This window comes from Homo sapiens, chromosome 10, assembly GCF_000001405.40.
Source record: "Homo sapiens chromosome 10, GRCh38.p14 Primary Assembly".
NCBI lineage: Eukaryota > Metazoa > Chordata > Mammalia > Primates > Hominidae > Homo > Homo sapiens.
Genome location: NC_000010.11, coordinates 91,852,614 through 91,876,524, shown reverse-complemented (window position 1 = coordinate 91,876,524; position 23,911 = coordinate 91,852,614). Strand labels below are relative to the sequence as shown.

General features: G+C 36.5%; 1 protein-coding gene across 4 annotated transcripts in view; it reads right to left on the bottom strand.

Annotated features, from left to right (window-relative positions):
- Positions 1 to 11,049: 11,049 nt before the first annotated feature.
- Positions 11,050 to 23,911, bottom strand: part of TNKS2 (tankyrase 2) — a 67,050-nt gene continuing 54,188 nt past the window's right edge. For all 4 annotated transcript variants that reach the window (XM_011540213.2, NM_025235.4, XM_017016699.2 and 1 more), the window contains 6 exons: positions 21,399 to 21,496; positions 20,837 to 20,911; positions 18,995 to 19,100; positions 16,877 to 17,063; positions 14,370 to 14,526; positions 11,050 to 13,588 (listed from right to left, as the gene is read on the bottom strand). In XM_011540213.2, the coding sequence (XP_011538515.1) occupies positions 13,526 to 13,588; positions 14,370 to 14,526; positions 16,877 to 17,063; positions 18,995 to 19,100; positions 20,837 to 20,911; positions 21,399 to 21,496 (686 nt within the window). In that variant the 3' untranslated portion in view covers positions 11,050 to 13,525. The remainder of the gene's footprint in view (positions 13,589 to 14,369; positions 14,527 to 16,876; positions 17,064 to 18,994; positions 19,101 to 20,836; positions 20,912 to 21,398; positions 21,497 to 23,911) is intronic.

The following is a 23,911-nucleotide window of genomic DNA, read 5'->3' as shown; positions in this document are numbered from 1 at the left end:
TTTTTTTAAAGAATGATACTCTGTTGGAGGTGCTAAAAAATTGTACTCTTATATACTACTGGTGGGAGTGTAAATTGAATTCCTCTGTAGGGGCAACTTGTAAATCTACAAATCATAAAATCATAAAGCAGCATTTCCCAGCCCTCCTTTTTAGATATTAAAATAAATAAATAATATTAAATATTGTCTATCGTGTAGTATTGTAGATCAATTTATCCAAGGATCACCATTAATTTTCATAGCAAACCTATGTTTTATATACATAAATCTATAATGATGCCCATTTTACAGATGAGGAAATGGGGGGCTAAATATTTGCAAGTTTTATGAATTTCATTGTCCTGACGCTGTTTCCTATCTGTTTTTCTCATTCGGTTTGATTTGGCCCAAATGGAGATAATGTTAATAGCATTAACACTGCCCCACTCACAAATAAGGCTTAGAGAAAAATCTCTTGCAGCTGCCTTTTCAAATCTTCAGTGACAACCAGAGAGAGTGTGGAAGGAGTGACACTCTGTACTGGGAGGCCCATTGACTGAGTCACATCATCACACCACATACTCTTGGGTCCTGTTAAATGAAGTAACACCCCAGTATAGGGGCAAGGGATGACTGGGGTGGTAGAAGGTTCTATATGTAGTTGAAATTTCATAGAACCTCTAAGGGATGGAGTGAAGCCAAGAAATCCAAAACCCAGTGTGTGAAATAGGTTGGAAAATACCTTCTTATTCTCTAGGAATCTTACCATCAAGGTAGTTCATCCTGTCTCATGGACTATGCCATGTTCTAATATTGGCAGGAATGTATTCCTGCCACTGGATATTTCTTAAAGTATGTATTTGGGTTTGTCATCTTTTACTTTCAAGGTTAAATTTTTGTCTTTGTTGTTTGTGGTATGAAATGGGTTTTCAGTACCCTAGTTCCTAGCCTTATACTCATAGGAAATAAATTCAATTTTTATGATTCAATTAAGGACTATTGCCCAGGAATCATTTAGATTGTATCATTAAATAGGAGGTTGCCTGTAAATCCATTCTCTTAAAGATTCTAATGACAGCCAGCCATTAGAATTTAAAAAATACTGTTGCTTGGGCCTCACTCCCAGAGATTTTGATTCAATCAGTCCAGCATGGACTTAGAGTATTCCCAAGAATTTCTAATATGCGGCCAGAGTTGAGAGCCGCAGTATTTGACTCCTTGTTGCCTTCTCTCTAAGGCTGCTGGCCCATGCAGACAGGAACCATGTTGTCAGTCTTGTTCATGACTGTCTTCCCAGCATTCAGCCTAATGCCAGGGACATTTGTATTAAATGAATCCAATAATGCCCTTGGAGTTCATTGATTAAAGCAGTGAATGGCAGCCTGTTTAGATCCACTACTAGGTTTCAGGGGGGACTAGAGGCCCTGAGAACTGGTTTGAGCCAAGCTTGAGAGTAACTGGAGGAGACAAGATAAACACGTGATGAGCAACCAGGGGATTTTAGCAAGGGTTGGGGGCAGACTCAGCTGGCCTTGAGTGTGAGAAGACAGAGTCCATGTGAAAGGCAATTCTTTATCCCCTGAAGGATGCTGGAATGTCAATTGTATGAGGAAAGTGAGAGGTGAGGCCAATTAAGAGCTTGCAATAGAGGCAGAAGTTGGTTAAGGCTGAGGTGCCATTGGGACACCCATGTTCAGAGCTGTGCTTTTGTTTTTCTATAATTCTAAGCACAACATTGTGCTATAAATCAGAGAGTTCTGGTGGCTACGGTAGTGTTTAAAGAGGAGGCCCAGGGAAGATTAACGAGAACTGGGAAAAAGGAGTAGGTAGGGGAGAGGGGAATAAAAAGTTAGCATGCAACAGTTCTGAAGCCAGAGGGGAGAAATGTTGCTGAATTGGAATTTCTGCAAGTCACTATTTGAAAGGACAAAGGGAGGCCCAAGGGCTGGTTTCTTTAGAAGAGTGTTTGTTTTGTTTTGTTTTTCTGGTCCTGAAGCAAAATCCTAATGGCAGTGCTTGGTGGGAGGGGAAGCCAAAGTGTAATTTTAATGTATTTGTTGGTTTTAAAATATAAATTATTTAATTTTTGAATACGTATTGCTTTCATAGTTCAAAAATATTAAAGTATAAACAGGTATTCAGTAAAGTCTCTCTTCTATCCCTATTCCCCATTTACACCCAATTTTCCAACATTTAATAAATACTGTCGTTTGTTTCTAGTATATCCTGCCAGAAATTTTAATACATATATGAGCACATATAATTATATGTATATATTTTAACCTCACCTTTAAAATTCATATTATATCCACCATCTGCATCTTCTATTTTCTTTTCTTTCTTTTTTTTTTGAGACAGAGTCTCACTCTCTTGCCCAGGCTAAAGTGCAGTGGTGTGATCATAGCTTGCTGCAGCCTCAAACTCCTGAGTACAAGTGATCCTCCCACCTCAGCCTCCTGAGCAGATGGGACTATAGGTGCCTGCCACCATATCCAGCTAATTAAAACAATTTTTTTTTTTGAGACAGGGTCTCCCTATGTTGGCTAGGCTGGTCTTGACTCCTGACTTCAAACAATCCTCCCACATTGGCCTCCCAAAGTGCTGGGATTACAGGCATGAGCCACCATGCTGGGCCATCTCCCTTTCACTCAATGTATCTTGCGGATCTTTTCACACTAGTACATAGAACACATCCTCAGCCTTCTTTACAACTTTACAAATGCAAGGAATTCCATCTTGTGAATGTGTCACCTTCTATTTTACCAGTATCCTATTGATTAACATTGACAATGTTTCAAACATTACCAAAAAAAAAAAAAAGAAAGAAAAATTAAAAAATGTTTCAGCGAACAACTATATGATCATGTAATATTTCTGTGTGAGCAAATATGTAGGATCAATTCCCAGAAGTGAAATTGCTGGTCAAAGGGAATGAAGGGGGAAACCAAAGTGTAATTTTAAAAAGTGAAATGCACACAGTACAGAATTCAAAAGGCAATAGAGTGAAAAGCAAGCCTCCCTTCCATCCCATCCCCTGCCATGCCGTTTCCTTCATAGAAGCAACCAGATTATCAGTTTCCTGTGTATTTTCTCAGAGATTCTTTTTTTTTTTTTTTTTTGAGGTGGAGTCTCACTGTGTCACCCAGGCTGGAGTGCAGTGGTGCAATCTCGGCTCACTGCAACCTCCACCTCCTGGGTTCAAGCAATTCTTCTGCCTCTCAGCCTCCCGAGTAGCTGGGAATACAGGTGCGCACCATCACACCCAGCTAATTTTTGTATTTTTAGTAGAGATGGGGTTTCACCATATTGGCCAAGCTGGTCTCGAACTCCTGACCTCGTGATCCACCCGCCTTGGCCTTCCAAAAGTGCTGGGATTACAGGTGTGAGCCACCGTGCCTGGCCTTTTCTCAGAGATTCTATGCATAATCAAATATACATGAGTTTTTTTTTTCTTCTTCTTTTTCTTTGAGACAGGGTGTTGCTCTGTTGCCCAGGCTGGAATGCAGTGGTGTGGTCACAGCTCACTGTAGCCTTGACCTTCAGGGCTCAAGTGACCCTCTCACCTCAGGCCCACCTCTAGTAGCTGAGGCTACAGGTGAACACCACCATGCCTGGCTAATTTTTGTTTTAAATTTTTTGTAGAGATGGAGTCTCATTTATGTTGCCCAGGCCGATCTTGAACTCCTGGGCTCATGTGATCCTCCTGCCTTGGTTTTCCAAAGTGTTGGGATTATAGGAATGAGCCACTGCCCTGGCCCTTTCTCTTCTTGTTCTGTTCCTTCTTTTTTCTTCTTTCCTCCTCTTCCTCCTCCTCCTCTCCTTCTCCCTTCTCCCCCCTCCCCCTTCCCTCCCCCTCCCCTCCTCCTCCTCCTCTTCTTTTTCTTACAAATGGTAGTATACAAGACATTTTGCTTTATTTTTCTCTTGACAATATATCTTAAAGATACTTGCAGGTCAGTATAGTGTTACTTCAATCTAAAGGGGAATTTTCTAATCATACTCTAGTGTGGTACAGTTGTAATCATTCTTTTTTTTTTTTTTTTTTTGAGACAGAGTCTCGCTCTGTCGCCCAGGCTGGAGTGCAGCGGCGCGATCTCGATCTCGGCTCACTGCAAGCTCCGCCTCCCGGGTTCATGCCATTCTCTTGCCTCAGCCTCCCGGTAGCTGGGACTACAGGTGCCCGCCACCACACCCGGCTAATTTTTTGTATTGTAATCATTCTTTTAAATTTGTTATCATCCAGCTAGAAAACAATTTAACGTCAGTCTGGGATTCTCGTAAACTCACAGACTGAGAGTTGGAAGAACTTGTAGAGGTCACATCTGTTTCTATGATGTGTATAATTTTGGGGTTTGCAATTTTTATTTGCACTTCCTCTCTTGAACTATGATATGGGGAGAAGAAAGATAAATCAAGAAGGTAGAAATTGAAATGAAGCCTCATGTGCTCTGCACAATCTGACTTGCTAAGTCCTGGTGGATTCCTGGAATCTGTCACTGGGCTCCTCACAGCTCTCCTATCCTTTTCAGCCTTCACCTATTTTACACGTTGGTTTTCAGCATAAGATTTTGTTAGGAATAAGGACTTGGGTCAGCTATACTCCCTTGGATTTCAGAAGAGGGTAGTGATGGCCAGAAAAGTTGAGCAACTTGTTCAATTCACCCAACTGCTAGAAGCAAGACCAGAACCTGAGTCTACCAAGCAATTCCCACATCTTTGTCTTCTCACGCCAGGGTTTTTCTCCATTCAAGTTTGCCTGACAGGTGCTCCACCTTCTTAGGACAGTTAACGGAGGGTTTAACGAGCCCCTCTAGATGACATCTGTGCATGTTATCACCACCTGAACCCAAAGAACTGCTTAAAAAGTGGACATTCTGGGCACTCTGGCAGAACCACTGGGAGAGTGTTAGGGGAAGGAGGCAACAGGTAGACATCTGTCTTTTCCAGCAGCACAAAGGTCCAATTGGTACAAGGCCAAGAAAATACCAGATCAAAGAGCTCACAAGAATGGTGAATCAAAACAAAATGCTCCTTGTCTAGGTGTGTTGCATGGTAAAGTTTGTTCCTGACTTAACAATGTTTAGACTTAATGATTTTTCTTCTTTACTGATGGGTTTACTGGGATGTAACCCTATTATAAGTCAAAGAGCTCCTTACCACTTACAATGGGATTACGATTTCTACTAAATCATTAATCCTAACTCATTATAATTTCTATTGAATAATGCTTTTGTGCCATTCTTAAGTCAAAAAATTCTAAGATGAACCATCATATCACTAGCATTAAATGCATGTTTGACATACAATATTTTCGATTCACAATGGATTATTTGGACCTAGCCCCATGGTAAATCAAGGAGCAACTGTATAAATATTACGTCTGGAAGTATCTATTTTGTGTGTGTGTATATATATATATTCTTGTATACACACACAGACTCACACACACACTATATATAGAGTACACACACACTATATATATACACACACACACACACATATATATATAAGCACACACATATATATATATCAAATTTAGATGCCTTTATCAAATGCCTTTCAGAATTCAGGGGGATTGTTGTCTAATTTTTGCCCTGTCAGCTACTGATAAGGTGAATTATATTATTTTCTTTTTTTTTTTTGAGACAGAGTCTCACTCTGTCACCCAGGTTGAAGTGCAATGGCGCAATCTCGGCTCACTGCAACCTCCGCCACCTGAGTTCAAGTGATTCTTCTGCCTCAGCCTCCCAAGTAGCTGGGATTACAGGCATGCGCCACCATGTCTGGCTAATTTTTTTTTAATTTTTAGTAGAAATGGGGTTTCACCATGTTGGCCAGGCTGGTCTTGAACTCCTGACCTTGTGGTCCACCCACCTCAGCCTCCCAAAGTGCTGGGATTACAGGCGTGAGTCGCTGTGCCCGGCCTATATTATTTTCTAGGGGTGAACCAGCCTTGCATTTTTGGTATAAAGTCCAACTGGTCATTATGTATTAGTTTTAAAAAACAGCTTTAACATTTCCATCACCCGAAAGCTCACTCATATCCATTTGCAGTTTATCTATATTCCTACTGGTATTATTCTGTTAATGTTGTGCTAGATTTTGCTTGCAATTAACATTTTGTGCATTAATGTCCACTCCTTTTTCTCTCACCTTGTTGAAGCTTGATATTAATTCTATATGTATTTATTAAAAAATTGGAAACTGTCTACACTCTTAGAACAGTTTAAATAACATTGGAGTTATCTATTCCTTAATGTTTTGTAAGACTCTACCATGAAACTCCCTGGGTCTGGGAATTGTTTGGGGATAGCTCTTTGACAGAATTCTTTCTTTCTTTTTTGGCATCTGGTTTGTTTAGACTTGCTCTCTTTTCTTGGGTTAGTTTTAGTCATTTGTGTTTTACTAGAATATTACCCTAGGTGTTATCTCAGTTCCCAAATTTATTTGTATGGAGTTGAGCAAAGCGGTCTTTAAAATTTTTAAACATTTTTCTTTGTATTTGTGGCTACTTCTCTATCAAAACTTTTTTATATTGTAGATTTCTGATTTTTCTTGATTACCTTACCTATTTTATTCCCTTAAATCGCTAGTTTTTACATTGACTGCTTTTACCTCCAAAGTTGTGTAAGAAGGAAGGCCACTCTGTAAGGAGGGGTGACCTTTTAGTGAAGGGGACAGCTAACCCAGGGATTCTCACCCAGGGCGATTTTGTCCTCCAGGGGACATTTGGCAATGTCTGGGATACTTTTGGTTGTCACAAGGGGCAGCTGTACTATTTGCATTTAGTGATTAGAGATCAGAGATGCCACTAAACATCCGACAATGCACAGAATAGCCCCAACAAGTAATTATCTTCCCAAAACGTCAATAGTGCCAAGGTTGTCCTGAGACTGATCAGGATGGGAGCTGGGAAATAGATGTTTGAATTTCACTCTCTTCCTAATCACCCTCCAACATCCGGCTGATACTCCCCTTGGGTTAAAAGGGGAAAGCCAGAGAACAGGGAATCTGTCCATGTAGCCCATCAAGATTAGATTTCTGGGGCAAAAAGGAGGCTGGAGAACTGTGAAGAGTGGAAAGAGAAGATAGTCATTATATAAACATTGTGATCAGTGTTGTGTTCCTTCGTATGACTCGTGAAGCCGCTGAGCAAGGGTTTCTCTCCACACCTAGATGTCGGAGGAATTTCTCATTTTACCAGTAATGCCAAATGGATTTCAAAAGCACTCACACCAACAGCAATGTATGGGATCCAGATCCGAACACCTGCATTGCTAAGTTTTTTACTTTTGTCAGTTCTGGCAGGTATAAAATGGTACCTTATGGTACCTAGTTTGAATTTCCTTGATTACTAATGAGGCTAAGCGTTTTTTGATGTTTATTGAGTTTCCCATTTTGAGAAACGCTTGTTCACACGCGCCCCCCGCCCCGCGTTTTTCATTTTTTTCTTGTAGTTTTTAGTATATCCTGAATATAAATTATTTGCCCTTTATGTGCTGCAAATATTTTCTCACACTTTATGACTTGTCTCTTTACTTTCTTCTTAGTGGCCTTTGGATTAACAGATGCTTTTAAACTTAATACAGTCAAATTTACCAACCTTTTAGGGTCAGTGTTGTTTGAAGGTCACTTAAAAAGTTCCTCCTTGAATGGCGTGAACCTAGGAGGTGGAGCTTGCAGTGAGCCGAGATCGCGTCACTACACTCCAGCCTGGGCGACAGAGCGAGACTCCGTCTCAAAAAAAGAAAAAAAAGTTCTTCCTTATCTCAAAGTCATTAACAGTTTCTTATATTTTCTTTTAAACCTTTAAAATATTTTGCTATTCACATATGTCCTATATAAAATCTATGTGAAATTTATTTTTGTGTATATATCCAGATATGTATTTTTCCATGTGGATTACCAGCTGTCCCATTACAATTTATTGAATAGTTCCTCCTTTCCTCAGGATCTATAGTGCTACTCTGGTATATAAAAAGCCCTTATAAACTCTGTTCAACTGGTCAAAGACTCTACACCTATATCAATATCACACTATCTCAGTTACGACAGCATTAATTCTATTCTTCATCTCTGGTTCTCCTGCTTTATTTTTCTTCTTCAGGTGCGTCCAGGATACTCTTAACCTTTTACAGATATTTCCTGTTCACCTGATTCTTTGACATATTTTTTGGGGAAAAAAGTGCACGAGTCACCTGTTATTCTTATTTTTATTCGACTGGTTCATTTGTATTACCTTTCTTCAATCTTTACACTTCGATTTCTACTCTTTTAGTGATTATCTTTGAAAATTTAATATGCATACTTGACTTAAAGTCTAAATTTCATCAGCATCTTAAAGCTTCTATTTCCCATACTATTGTCAACTAGTACTTTCATTCCACCTTGTTTTAAAAATCTCAAATCTATTACTTGTGTATTGCAGACAATGCTTATTATAGTGCTTTAAATAGTCCTGTTATAAAATTCAAAAGGAATAAAAGGATATACAGTTTAGTCTTTCACATCTGATCCCAGTGGCACTGAGGTTTCCTTCCAACAGTTCACGTGTATCCTGAAGGAATTTTATTCATAAACAAGCAAATGCATGTTGTACTTTTTCCTACGTATACAAATAGTAGCAAATCATACAGATTGGTCTTGAATATTATTCCTTATCAGTTATATTATTTCAGCCTTTTTACTGACATGTTTGCCGATTTCTTTGTGCACTATGCTTCTTGCATCCTGCTCTTTTGGATTCAACTGCTTTCTTTGCTAAAGAACAATCTACTAGATCTCTCAGCAAAAGAGCAGATGCATTTTTCATCCTCTTTTTTAAGTACTAGTTTATCTGTGTATAGAATTCTAGGCTAACAGTAGTTTCCTCAGCACTTCTAAGTTATTTTGTCTTCTGGCTTCTGTTGCTGCCACTGATCTGCTGTCAGTGTATTAATCCTTTGTCTTTTCTAGTAAGTATTTTTTTTCTTGTCTTTTGATGCTCTGCAGTTTCACTATGTCTAGTAGCAGACTTGCTTTTATTCATCCTCCTAGGTGTTTCTTAAGCTGCTGCTTCTTTAAAGATTCATATTCTCTATGAATTCTTGGGTATTTTTCAAGTCTCTTCCCTCCCCTATTCTTTATGTTGTATCTCCTCATTCTATTCTGTCTCCTAGCCCTCTGTATTTCCCATCTCTTCTCTCTGTGCTACAATCTGTGTTTTCCACTGTATCTTCTAGTTCCCCAATTCTATCTTCAGATATGCCCAGTCTGTAATCTGTTTGAGTTTTTAATTTCTAATTACATATAGTTCTAAAGACTTACTTTTTCGAAGACTTTGCCTTCTTCACAGCGTCATCTTAATGGTTTTAATGATTTCTTTTATTCCCACCCTCAACCCAATCATTTTAAACAATATTTACTTCACTACTTTGTGGGAGGTGCTAATCCTCCAAGATTGTCTCTACTGATTTGTGCTTACAATACACTGTTTTGGATTTTTGATGAGTTCATCTGAGTGAGGCTTTTTTCTAGACAAATATGATGCAGACTGGATTATGGGTATGTCTGTCTGTGTGCTCATATCAGTAATTTTAAAACAGATTCCTGTGGGTTAGGGATTTATATACTTTATATTTTGAGCTTCTTAAGATTTCATTAGAATAAAGGAATTAGTGGCTAATACATCTTGCAGTTTTAAAATTCTATGCTCTATGTTTCCGTGACAAGTGGGAAAACTCAAGCCATTAATTCTGGAATATTCAGGGAAATATTAATTATAATAACCAGTTACTGGCAAGTACAATGCTTAGTAGCACAGACAGAAAATCATTTATTACTTTCTACAACCTTATAAAGTGTTATAAAAATCTTAAAAGGTACATAATTTGTTCAAGATCACAACGATGGTGAGGGGTAGAATAAAAATTAAAATCCATATACATCTGACCTTACAGCCCAATCACTTAATCACTATTTATTCACCCAACGAAAAATTTACTGAGGAACCCTATGTGCCAGATATGCTAGGTGCTAAGTCTACTGGTATACAAAGCAGATGTGAAACCTTTCAAATTATCTGTGAAGGATCAGTTTCTTTCTAAGTTTCCAATCCATTGCAGGCCAATATTTCAATTAAAAATAAGAAAAATAAATTACAGCAATGTCTTGCTATAAAAGTTTTTAAAAGTTTACCCTTACTTTTTGTATTCATATCTCCATGGGCTGGTAACAATATCAGTTCGCAGACCAATCCCATCGGCAGATCACACCTTTGTATAGTGCTGCTTTGTAGTATGTGGGCATACTGCTTTGAGGGGCTCTGTATATATTTGTGTTACGGAAATGACAGCTGTGGGTGGGTGACAAGGTGGAGACATCACTTCTAATAATAATGGCTTTATGTGAAGAGCAGTAATTAAGTATTTTAGGTCATAGCCTGTCTAAACTAGTCAGCACAAAAGGGCAGGAGGTGTGGAGACACAGGAGACAGGGAAAGGCATATTACAATTTAATTTTATAGAAGTCTGACAGTTCTCCTGGTGAAAAATGAGTACCACCACTACTTGCTTCCTTTGTCACTCTAGTCCTGTAATAGGACAGCAGGTAAAGGCACAGTCAGGAGTACTGACTATAAGAGCTCTGGGAAATCTGCATGCTTTCTTGCCTCATCAACCTGCAAACAACTGGATCACAATAAACACCCGAGACTGGCATGCATACTTGAAATAGCAGCAAATACTTCCATATTACCCTAAATGAAGCAGGAACACAGAGCTGCTGAAATGTATTTCAAAGCCAAAAGACTTAAGAATTATTTGCACCATCATTCTCTTATTATGGAAATCAGGGAATTGCTCACACACAAGGAAACTTAACATACTGAAGTCTAATATACATATGCGATTACTCTTTCTTTTAATAGCAATAAATACCACTAACTTTGAGATTTGGAAACTTATTAAGAATGTTTTCATATGACACAGAAATAAAAATATATTCCTTTTTATAAGTTAAGAAGATTAATTTCCCAGGAATGAGCTTTAAGGTTTACCAGTTGTGCTGAATAGACTAAATGTTGAAAGCATCTCACAGCTACTTTCATTTTAATGAGCAAGTACAGCTACAATATTCAATATTTCAAACTTCAAACTGCATTCTTTATCACTATTAGACTCAGAACTACATTGTTTTCCTGCAATTGTGGTTTATTGTAATCTTAATTCATTTTCTCAAAGACCATTCAACACATTTATACTATTCCAGTAATTACCATGCTACCCAGAAAAACAAGTGAACAGTTTTATTAAGAATTAAATGAGGGTATGGAATGTGATACAGTACAAGTAAGACACTGAAGATGGGTATAATAGTACTACTTGCACAAAAAGTTAAATTTCACTTCAAAAAAAAAAATCACAAGACAAAAGAAAAAGCAATTCCATCATTATAAAGTAAGCTATTTCATGCAACGTACTAATACTCCCCCTCCCCCCAAAACCCCAACTTCCCAACAAACAAAAAGCTATCTGAAAATGCTGCCATGCTAACATATGAACCACGGTATATTCATTCATGGAAAAACACACTCATTAAGCAATGGATTAGATAAAATAACACAGTTTGCAGTATTGTAAACTCATAGACCACAATGATTTCACATGAAAAGCAATTCCAGATTCACTCATAGGGTGAGTAATATGGGCTACATAGTTGAGAGATAATGTAAATATAAACCCCATTAATTCTCTCATTATCTTCTAATTATAAAACCTGGAAGCTTAGATAATCTGAAAAATTCATATAAAATTTGGCATACTCCACTTGTGTTCCAAGAAATGACTTTCGGATATTTGTAATTATTAGAGAGCTGTATAAAAAGCACTTCAAGATCAGGATTTGACTTCTTAAATAATGATCATAATTTACATCACAGAAACAACTCCAGAAATGCATTTACTCTGATTAACTCTTACTCAGGACAAGGAACATGATTTTCTAGCACTTTATGTACAAGTTACTGCAAAGGGCCAGTTAATTTACAGACTGAATAAAACGTAAAATAAAGGTGAACTGGTACAGACAGTGATGGGGAATGTCCTCATTAAGTGAGTAAAGATCTTTCCTCGACTTTGAAGGGAGCTAGAGTCAACAAATAAAAGAGATTGCCAAGCCATAATGGATGTATGTCTCTGTAACAAGATGCTTAAGCATGCTTCCTGGAAAAGAGTTTTATATTAGAAAATAGGAATGGCATTTTATGGGACAGCATTTCCTTCTATAGCTGCCAAACTGAGCACAGGCGTGGTCACCATATGGTGCACAAACTGACAGCATATTTCCAATTGGGCATAACATCATGGAGAGAAAACCCAGGAGCAAGAAGCACCTGTTTCACTGCACTTGCCCATTCAGGAGGCCTGGAGGGGACTGAGACAACTACATTTTATAGTTCTGGGTTAAGTTTACCCATGATGTATAGATTGGCTATAAATACAGCAATAAAACCAAGTAAAAAGAACAGGAAAAAATATACTTAGGATAAAAAACTACCCAGTCCTGTTTGTGATTTTTTTTTTCCCCTTTAGATTTAAGGTAATTAGAATAGATTGGGAAATGATTTAGGATTACCCTTCCCACCCTGGAAATGTAACATCCTACTTATGTTCCATGAAAAGAACACAATAATTGTTCAACAGCAAGATTTAGTTTCTCTAAAAAACAGGAGCACTTTGCTCTAATTTTCACAGAAGGACTGCAGAAAATTTTCCAACATGAAAGCTAGAAATTGAGGCCAGTAAAGAAGCTTCTTTAGTAATCAGGACCTATCATAGTTAGAGCTCTTTGGAATGTGTCTCATACATACAAAGGTATCACAAATTAAATCTTCAGCATATTCATAAGTTCTTAAATGAGAAAGATTTCTAATGACAGATAAAGGCTCCCATCGGCAAATTAAATCTGATAACTCAATCTTTCCCAACTAACAACTGAACATAGCCTCTGGAATCAAATGTAAAGATCACTCAATCATGACGATGTAAGATGAAGTATAGATGAACAATACATATGAAAAAATTTTGTAAACCGCTGCAGTTCTAAAACAGATTTATATTACAAAGCAATGTAAATAAATACTGGGCTAGTACAAAAGCTCTTATTTACAGTTTTACAAATGAAATTGTATTCAGTGTAAATGCTGTGTTTTAAAGAACACAGTATTGTATTAGTAAAATTAGTTCTGTTGAGGGCATTACAGTTTGTTAGAATCAATGCATAACATATAAAAGGTTCAAGTTAACTCTGTTTATAATTTAGTACAGACAACCCAGTTTAACCTGGAATGGCATCTGTTAAAGTGCTGAAAAAACAGGAAATATTTAGAAAACACTGTACATTATTAAAGCTTTATCAAGTCAGAATGTTAAACTTCGTTCACATTTTTATCCTTTTGCCACAGGCCTGTGGGCAAGATGATTTTTTTTCAGCAAAGGAGTAAAACGTAGAGGCCACTGCTGCTTTGATGATTTTAGGTTCAGTGGAATTAGTTTCTTAAAATAACTATTTATCCATCGACCATACCTTCAGGCCTCATAATCTGGTAAGTAATTAAATACTCAGGATAAGCCTGGAAGAGAAAGATAAATTCAAATAATGGTACAAAAATTTTCTTGAAAGATAAACAGACTTTCCGGAAGTATTCCTAATCTTAGGGAGGAGGTTCTAAATTACTGTTGTAGATCAGAATCATCTAGGGACATTTTCTCAAAACATCTTTACCCTGAGTACAGTTCTTCAGATTTTCAATCAGCAAGTCTAAGATGAATACTAAGTTCATAAGTATCAGATAAGACTAAAATCATGTCTGATTTTAGTAACTGCGGTGATTCCGATACCTACTCCCAGTTCACAACACTGCTCTAGAACTACTTTTGGCTCTCACTGAGAGCAAAACACAGTTATATACTTCTTTGCTATGGACAGGCTGTTAAATACAAGATTTCAATTATTTATAAGAGCTAAGAAAAATCCGGAACGACTGGCGAAATTTGAATAAAATCTTCTTGTTTTTAGGAAATTTACAATTGAAATAGTTAATGGTAAAGGGACATGCCCTGCAACTTACTCTCAAACAGTTCACAAAAAAATAGGTACACACACAAGGAAAGAAGGAGAGAATGGTAAGAGTAAAAAAGAGAACAAAATATTAACATTTAGGAAATCTAGGTAAAGGTTATAAGAAAATTCTCTTTACTATTTTTGTAACTTTCCAAATCTGAAATTATCTCCAAATAAAATTTTTAAAAAATCCAGTTAAGGCAATATGTCTTGTCAATTCAAGAGATTAATAAAAAGTTAAAGTATGCCTCCCTAGCATTTTTGAAGATGAACAAATAAAACTACATTACCTGTTCTCCTCTGTAAATAACATATTCAGCTAATGCTAGGCCATTTACACTGGGCCTACCAGTGACTGAGTGATGACCTGGAGGAGAATGTGCCATTTTCATTGCACTGAACTGCAGGAAAGACTTTCCCAAGGTTACCCGGCAAAAGAGCAGCTGCCTATAAAACGAAAAGGAAAAGATCACCCTGAAGTCAAATTTGATACATAAATATGACAATGTGTGGACACGGCATAAGTTTTAAAAAATTATTTATACATAAATACTTATAATTGTTTTTATCATTTCACCCCTAAAAGAACTTTTTAAGAATGTCTTCTATTACTCTTATTAATGAAATAATTTGTCAATTTAGTTAGTCCTTATTTTAACTATAAAATCTGAAAAATGTAATAACCTTATAGAGATACAGACTCTACCACCTTGTTTGTATCTCAGCAAAAAACAAAAGTCACTGGCCAAGTGGGAAGGAGAAGGTTTAGTGGACTTCCATTAAGTGGCTTGCAAAGTTGGACACATATCTAATTAACTCCAGTTGATTTTACCTTCAAAATATATTTGAAATCCATTTACTTTTCTTAATTCTACTGTCACTATTAAGTCAAATCACTGAAATATTCACCTGGACTATCACACAATGGCTTTCTAAACCAGTCTTCCTGTTTCTTCTGTAATTCCTGTCCAAACCTTTCCCATCCAACTAATTAAAACAAACAAAAATTAGATCAAGTCACTTTTCTGCTTAAAACCTTTTAGAGGCTGTCACTGTACTTGGGAGAAAATCCAAATTCTGTACAATGGCTCCAATTTCTTGAATCTCATTTTATGTTCATTATGCCCCATGCACATTAGTTTTCTTTTCTTCACAAAGGCCAAACTTGCTTTATTAATGGTCCCCATCCACAGAATTTTCTCCACCATTGGAATGTTATCTATTTTACCACTCTTCCACTGGCTGATACCCACTCAATTTTCAGACTTCAGCTGAAATGTTACTTCCTTAGATAGGAAGTAAACTGGTAGTCTCCCCTCACCACCAGTTTCAGTAGATTACCCTCTCACTCCTCTCAGGCATGTGACTAGCCTTTCTTAGTTTCAAACAACCTTTTAGTATTAACGTCATTGTTTCTTTTTAGAAGATAACAGGAGATTTCTGTAGACCAGTTGATGGTTCTATCTTCCAAAGAAGAGGGAGGTATTAGAATGCTGCTTATTACTAATAATCAGAACTATTTAGCCTTCAGACCATATATGACAAATAAAAACAGCAGTGTTCAATTTACAGGAAATTACATGCCTCCTAACCACTCCAATTTATGATCTAAAATAGAAGTGAGTGGGACGTCATACATAGGAGGGCCTACTGTGTACTACCTATGCAGGCCTAAATTTAGAGGGGTAACAGTAAGAACAAAACAAACACAAAGAAAGAACCTGTTTCCCTCCATGACTGCAATTCTTCAGCTCGGAAGCCCTTTGAAATCAACTGGGAAGCTTTTAAAAATTCTAATATCCAGATCATGCCCCAGACCAATTAAAAGAGATTCTGTGAGGGTGGGACACAGGCATTAATAGTTTTTTAATATTCCCTGGGTGATTCCAATGTGCTGCCAAAGTGCAAAGTACTGCTCTAGGGGTTTTTTTCTAGATCAGTGGTCAGAAATACAGTGTCACATCTGGGAACTTGGTAGAAACTCAAATTCTAGAGTCTCATCCCAGATCTACTAAATCAGCAACTGAGAAGGTGGAGCCTAAGAATCTGTGATTTAAACAAGCCATCTAGGTGACTCTAATGCATGCTAATGCTTGATAAACTACTGCTCTGTATATTCAATAAGCAGTGCCCTAACTGTCGAATAAATCTCAGGAATTAATCTTACTGGATTTTTCAAGTGGCATTACTTTTTGCCTATAAGGATTTTATAAGTTAGGGACAAGTTACTTAAATGATTTTTAACAAGTGAGTTAGAACAGGTAATTAAAAGTGGAAAAAAAAAGTGCAAAGTAGTTATTTGATTATTATTTCCTTTCAAAAAGGATCAATGTTTTAATTTCAAGTTCTTATAGTAATATTGCAAATTGAGGATTAGGATCGTATCACAGTGGAAGAGAGGCTCAGGCACTGCCATCAAATAATTAGATTTGACAAATAATGCCATTTTAGCATTTGAATACTAGATTTTTAGAGTCCACAGAGTCCTACAATACTCAAGGGCTACAATAAAGCCTCTTTCATGCCTAATGTTACTTTCTACTCAGTATGCTTTAAGGCACCAGATATTCTAATGATTAAATTAGCCAAACAGGTCAAGTGCTTAAATTATAATTGGCCCATACGGATCATTTAATAAATATTAGCTATTATTACAATTGGTGAGAGGGCCAAAAGCAATCTAAAACATGCCTAGCTTGCATTCCTAAGACTGTCCAACATAATGCTTTGCCCTCAAAAATGCAACTAGTTCTTATCTGATTACCACCAAAATAAATGAGAACAAGTGATCTCTTACCTGTGGCAAATGTAACAAGATCTGTCTTTGTGAACTGGACACCCAGTACCTCCTCCAATTCCATATACATATTGATTGCTTTTGGAAGAGTTTTCAGCAAAATAAATGCCAGCTCCAAACATACCACCTATGTACGCATGCCTTTCATCAAAGCCTTTGTGGATAATTGCATTCACAAAAGGAGACCCTGAAACACATATAGATGGGTAACAATAATTTAAAATTTATCTTAGAATAAAAAGTAAAAAACTAGTTTCTTAGAAACTGAATTCTTAAATATATAGCCCAACCATAATAAAGCCAAAACGAAAAAGGGTAACAAGTTAACTGTCAGCCAGCTATTTTAGAATAAAGAACTGCTAACATCAACTAATGTTTCTAACAGAGTGCTGGTTTATGTGCTAAAATAAGGACACAGATTGAACTAGAAAAACAGAGTACTTGAAATATCAGTGTAAGAGTTACCAAATGCCAGACTGCAAATCCATAAAAATCTAAAACCAAGAGGCTCATAATTCACTTTAGATAGCAAAGCTAAATGCAATTAGGTCTTAGAATGATGCCTATGCCTGTGTGCTTTTTTGAAGATACCAAGTGGCCCAAGTAGACTTTCACATTCTTTTTTTTTTTAAATTTTTTTGAGATGTAGTCTCGCTCTGTGGCCCAGGCTGGAGTGCAGTGGCATGATCTTGGCTCACTGCAACCTCTGCCTCCCGGGTTCAAGCAATTCTCCTGTCTCAGCCTCCTGAGTAGCTGGGACTATAGGTGCACACCACCATGCCTGGCTAACTTTTGTATTTTTAGTAGAGACAGGGTTTCAACATATTGGTCAGGCTGGTCTCAAACTCCTGACCTCAGGTGATCCACTCACCTTGGCCTCCCAAAGTGTTGGGATTACAGGCGTGAGCCACCGCACCCGGCCCAACTTTCACATTCTTATTCTCTTTCTTATACCTCTTCTCTTCTATCCTTCCACTTCTGCCTTTCATTAATTACGATACAAGATTCTATCTGCAAATGTGGTGCTTTCCCTCACCCCCTGCACATTGACTTCTCTCTCCTCTTTCCTTGGGAGTGGAGTAGAGTGGGGGATGGAAAAAGTCAAAAAACCACAGCTAATTCATTTATCAAGATCACATTCCCTTTCCACAGACAGACAGGAAAATATACTGAATTCTACTTTACAGAAATACAGATGAATAGAATCATTTTTTGAATTAACTTGGGAAAACCAAAATTATTTATATTACAAATTAGAAAAACCATATTATAACCATCAATTAACAGATAAATAAATATGCTCTGTGTCAAGAGATTATCATGATAATTATTTAGGGTTTTGGAATAAGGAGTGCAACATGTTTAGATTCTGCACATGAATCCATTCTGTTACAGCCATTCTCCCAGGGTATTATGAAATTTACTGTGTTTTAGAGAACTTTACAGGTCTCTAAAATTTTTCTGCAATCAAGGACAAATGAAGAAACAGACTGGAACTACTATGGGTAATGTACTTGAAGCCCTCATAAATACTACATTAATATGTTTAACTTTGCTAAAATTTGAAAGACTAATCAACACCTGCCAGCTTATAATACAAAAAAAGTAGAAAATTCCAAGAAGAATAAGTAATTGTGCTTTCAATTCAATTCTATGGTTTCAATTCTACAGTCATCAGAAACCTCTACAGGTTCAATAACAATGGCTCTTTTCAAATTGTGTGGGTTTGATACTTAGAATCAAAATCAGAATAGGATGTACACCTTCTTCTGAGGTGATTCCCAGGTCTTATTTTTAATTCAATCAACTAGTTAAATGGAAAACACAAAATTTCCTAGAGTGACCATAAGCAAAATTTACTATTTAAAGAAAAAAGGAAAAGATAGTCAACACTCTCATTTCTATTTTTATTGTGGTAATCTTATTTAAAAACAATCCATTATAAAATACACAAATTCAAAAGAAGTTGAAAATATAAATGTGAAAGTTACAGAAATAGTAGGTTTATCTTAAAATACTGACATAAAGAATATACAGGCTTATTATTATTTCATATCTGAACAAAAAAACTATCCTAATGTGGAAGACAGTGGTAGAGTTGGTGGGGAGGAATCTTACCATGAAATAGCATTCGTTCATTGGCATGGTTGTGGTTTTCTTCAGAAACTTCTTTTCTCCGGTGAGTGTATCTTTCCCATAGTTTCTTGTTACAAACCTTCTGAATCTATAAAAAATAAACCAGAAAAATCAAATCTTTAGGAATTACTTACTGACTTCTTCATCTAAACCAAACATGGGACATACATTTAGCTAGAAGGTAGGCAAAACTGTACTCTGAAATATAAAATGTGTTATTTTAATCAACTAAAAATACTTTGTCCCAACCATAAAATTGGAAGTATAGCTACATTTTGGAGATTAAAAAAATTCAAAGAAAAAAAGGCCATATGTGAAGGTCAGGAATACTGTTAATTTATTAAAACACTTCCATTCTCATTAACTTAAAACTATTACAAAAACACCTCCAAATCAGACATGCCGAGTTTTTTCTGTATAAAGTACTAGAAAGAGAAGAATATCCTTTTTCCCCAATGTATTTGTCTGAGTTCCATATTAATCTGTTTTAAATTAAGAATATTTGAAATAGCGTCCCCCACCCCTCAACACATACACAATTACTCCCTCGACCTTCTGATTCAGAAAATTTTTGTCCGCAGAAGATTTTAAGGTGGATATCAGTCTCATTAGGAGTATTTCTAGGAACAAAATTCACAATACTAGTGTTGTTTCTTAGCTGTGTTTAAAGGTGCTACAGCCCCCTGCTGGTTCCTAGAGCACACCTGGAAGCTGATGGTTTTAGTCTTGGCTCAAATAATGCAAAATATTGCCACAGATGTAATCAAGGATCGTAACTGTCACAAATAGATCTCATTTATGCATTAAAAAGGAACAACAACAACAAAAAAAACCCGTTTCATCACTGAAAAAATTTTTATTACACAACGCATGAAAATACCTTTATTAGAGGAAGAAAACTGTATCTTTCTCAAATCCAACTACTTTAGAAATCAAACACACAACCTCTCTCCTGCTCTCACTCCTAACAAAACTCCACACATTTTGTTAATGCTTGTAGACAAAGTGGACTTGACTGAAATGTACCTGTAGTAGGCATGTATTTGCCTGATTACATATTATACTCATAGTATGTTATGAAACAGTAATACAATACAGCTGAAAGATTTGATACTGTTCAGAGTTTAGCATTTGTGTATTAGAAAGGCATTTGTCACATATTAATTCTGTCTTATTTTTACAATTATTAGGAATATACTGCATCAATGTAGTTAATACGAATTCATTATGCATCAAGTATGGTGTGCAGTTTTGATTACTATAGTTCAAGAAAAACATAATGTTGAAAAAGTTCCTAAGAAGAGTAACTGAAATCAGTAAGACAGCAGTCACTAAATGACTCAAAACATTTTTAAAATATATTTTTCTGGAAAAGATGAAGAGAGTACTATTAAAGTTTATAAAAAGATAATATATTTGGGGACTTTCAGAAACCTGTAGTCAATCAGGATAAAAAAATAAGCATTGTATGACTATAAAGATGGTATCCGCCACAAAAAAAATTCAGCTTTGTTACAATAGAGTACTTTAACAGTACTTTATATAAAGTATTGAACCTATAGTATTTAGCATTACCCCAAGATAAAGCATAACCCATAAACTTGAATATGTTCAACAAGAATTGAATTATTATCCTTTATTAAAAATAGCACAGGGATTTGGAGAATATTAACCTTCCAAGGGTATCCTCTTTCCCAAAATAGTCTCTGATGCCAAGTCAAGGACTTACCAGGCTAGACAGATTAGATTCTTATGAAAGTTACTTATGGCTTCAGGCTTTGAAAACGACAGTCTCAGAAAACTTTACTTTCACTAATTTATTACCTTGAGAATATTGTATCTGTTGAAGATTCCACCTGCATGACCTCCATCTCTGTGCTCTCGAACTGTACTTTGCATCTGTCAGAAAAATGGTTTGAAATATATGTGCATTAGCATTTGTGTTATTTTCTGATTTGGGGAACATGGTTCTTGACTCGTCTGATTCTATTTTTGAGAATACAAAACAGGTTTTAATATTTTTGTTATTCAAAGAATATGAGGGCTGGGCATGGTGCCCCACTTTGGGAGGCCGAGGCAGGTGGACTGCCTGAGCTCAGGAGTTCAAGACCAGCCTGGGCAACATGGCGAAACCCCATCTCTACTAAAACAAAAACAAAAACAAAAACAAAAACAAACACAAAAAACAAAGAATATGAGTCTTATAAATTCATGAGTAATATTTTCTAGAGTAATATTACTCTAGTAATATTAGATAATCAGCTTGAAAACAGATTTTATAGGTGAAAATTATATAATGCAAACTAAAGGAAGAAAAAGAAACAAGAGGATACAAAGTGAACTAAATATATACGGCAAACCTACTATTGAAGTTATATGAACATACCTCTTCCTCCACAGACTGAAACTCTTTATCATCAGGAGACAGATCTATAAGAATTGTTCCACTACCAGAGGTGTTCAAAGTTAAATATGGGTTAAGACCTATGAAACAAAATTTGAAGGTAGAAAAATAAATTGCCAATAAACAATGAACATCAAAACCAAAAATAACCACCTAATTTTTCTGATTCTTACTACCAATTTTTTTTTTTAAACTTTTTTTTTTTTTTTTGAGACAGAGTTTCACTCTTGTTGCCCAGGCTAGGCTGGTGTGATCTTGGCTCACCACAACCTCCGCGTCCTGGGTTCAAGCGATTCTCCTGCCTTAGCATCCCGGGTACCTGAGATTACAGGCATTCGCTACCACGACTGGCTAATTTTGTATTTTTAGTAGAGACGGAGTTTCTCCATGTTGGTCAGGCTGGTCTCGAACTCCCGACCTCAGGTGATCCACCTGCCTTAGCCTCCCAAAGTGCTGGGATTACAGGTGTGAGCCACTGCACCTGGCCGCTTACTATCAATTTTAAAAACATTTCATAGTGTGATAATTTAGATATTTAGAAAGGATGAAAGTACAGAGTTCCTATGTACCCTTCACCCACTTTCCCCTAATGTTACCATTTTATATAACCATAGCACATTTGTCAAAACTTATTAACTAAATTATAGATGTCATTTTTTCACTAGTTTCCCCACTTATGTCCTTTTTTTTGTTCTAGGATCAAAACCAGTACACATACCACATTGCATTTAGACTATTACTTTTTGACCTGACAAGTTATAAGGGGTTTTATGGAAATATTTCAGAAAATCTTTCTCTTATCTCCTATTCTTAATGAGTTTGTAACACATTTTCTTCTTCAAATTACTTTCTTTACTAACTACGCAGCCCTTTCAACATTTAATCTCTTTCTTCTTTGTAAATATGAGGAAGAATTATGACAGAAACTTGCATAGCCTCAGGTAATTTTAAATCACCCTAGAATGAGAAATCCACAGTTTACCACCTATTGAATGTATATTCTGTCCCATAATAGATTGTTTACCTCAGCAATGAATTTGTGTGTTTTCCAAATGTCAATGATCAAGATAATCATATCTATTTTTCTATCTTTATTCTTATAAAAGCTTTTTAAATGGAATTTTAAACAGAATTTTCTAATTCCTTTGGTGTATTTGTAGCACAACTCTCTCCTTTAATCTCTACAACAATATCTCCAACACTGCTGTTTTCCCATGTAGGGGCCAAATCCTTTACTGCTGGGTTAGTGCATGGAAGTTTGTCTCTGGAGATGAAGAGCACTATTCTGGTTCAAAGCTATGGTCTGAAGAACAGGACTACTACCAACATGCCAATGCTAATAAACACTTACAGAAGTGGCTGAACTGCAATAATCTTTAAGGATTATGAAGAGCATATGGAGAGTGTTTTACAGAATAAAGACTGTGACAAATGCTTGACTGAGGCATCTGCAACATATACAAGATGATATTTATCAATACTGAAAGATCAGTATGGTACTAGTCATCTATTGACTTGATGCATTGAATGATAGGTAAGGCTGTTAAGTCAGCATGATAGATTGTTAGAAGATCATCACAGGCAGCTACCAGTTCCACTTTGCAAATCAGGTGTAAGTACAGAATCCCTGTTGGTTGACTAACATCAGGTTGGGGGAAAAAAAGAGTATTGGCTTTGAATGAACATAAAGAAGATGGTAACTTTATGTAGTAAAGTAACCCTGATATGCTAGATCAGACACAGCATTTTGTCTCATGACGTTTCTTCTTCATATAGGAATGAATGTTCCTATCCAAGTGGAGCTGGATGTATCAGAGTGACTACAGGACCAGAGGTGGCATGGAAGTACCTCTGCCATTTGGAGGCAATGTATCCATTTCTGTCATTGAGCCTTTCAGCTTTTCAGTGCAGTCCTAATAGCTATGATATGTTTAATACACAAATACTGCCTGCTTTCCTTTTCTACTCTGCCTCTTTCCTAAAAGACTCTTGTTATCCTGGTACTCCAACATAATTGTTATCATACCAGATCAGTATTATTCCAGTAGAGTTACAACGATGGTCTACAACTGAGGGTTCTAGTTTCTCATTTTTAGTGCTAATTATATTGTATACTAATATTTCAGGAAATCATGGACTTTCCCTCCTCTTTATCTTACAAAAATTTGTCCTCTATACTAGAAACAGCCAAGAGCATATTGCACTTTAAATTTCTTATCCTAGTCCTTATCAGGCAGTAAAATACATCTACCTTTAATTGAGCTTATTCTAAAATACCAGTTTAAAGTATTCCTTAGCTTGAATCATCTACATTTTTAGAGGTGCTCTTATTTCTTCAGAGGTGGACCCCATCCTGGCTAGCATACATTCTTCCCTGAAAATACCTTCATTTTTACTGATGGAGGTTTCTCTTTAACCCCAGGTGTACAGCCAGGACGTTCAATTATTGGATATTTTTGACCCCAAGATAAATCACTCCCTCAGTTGAACAATAA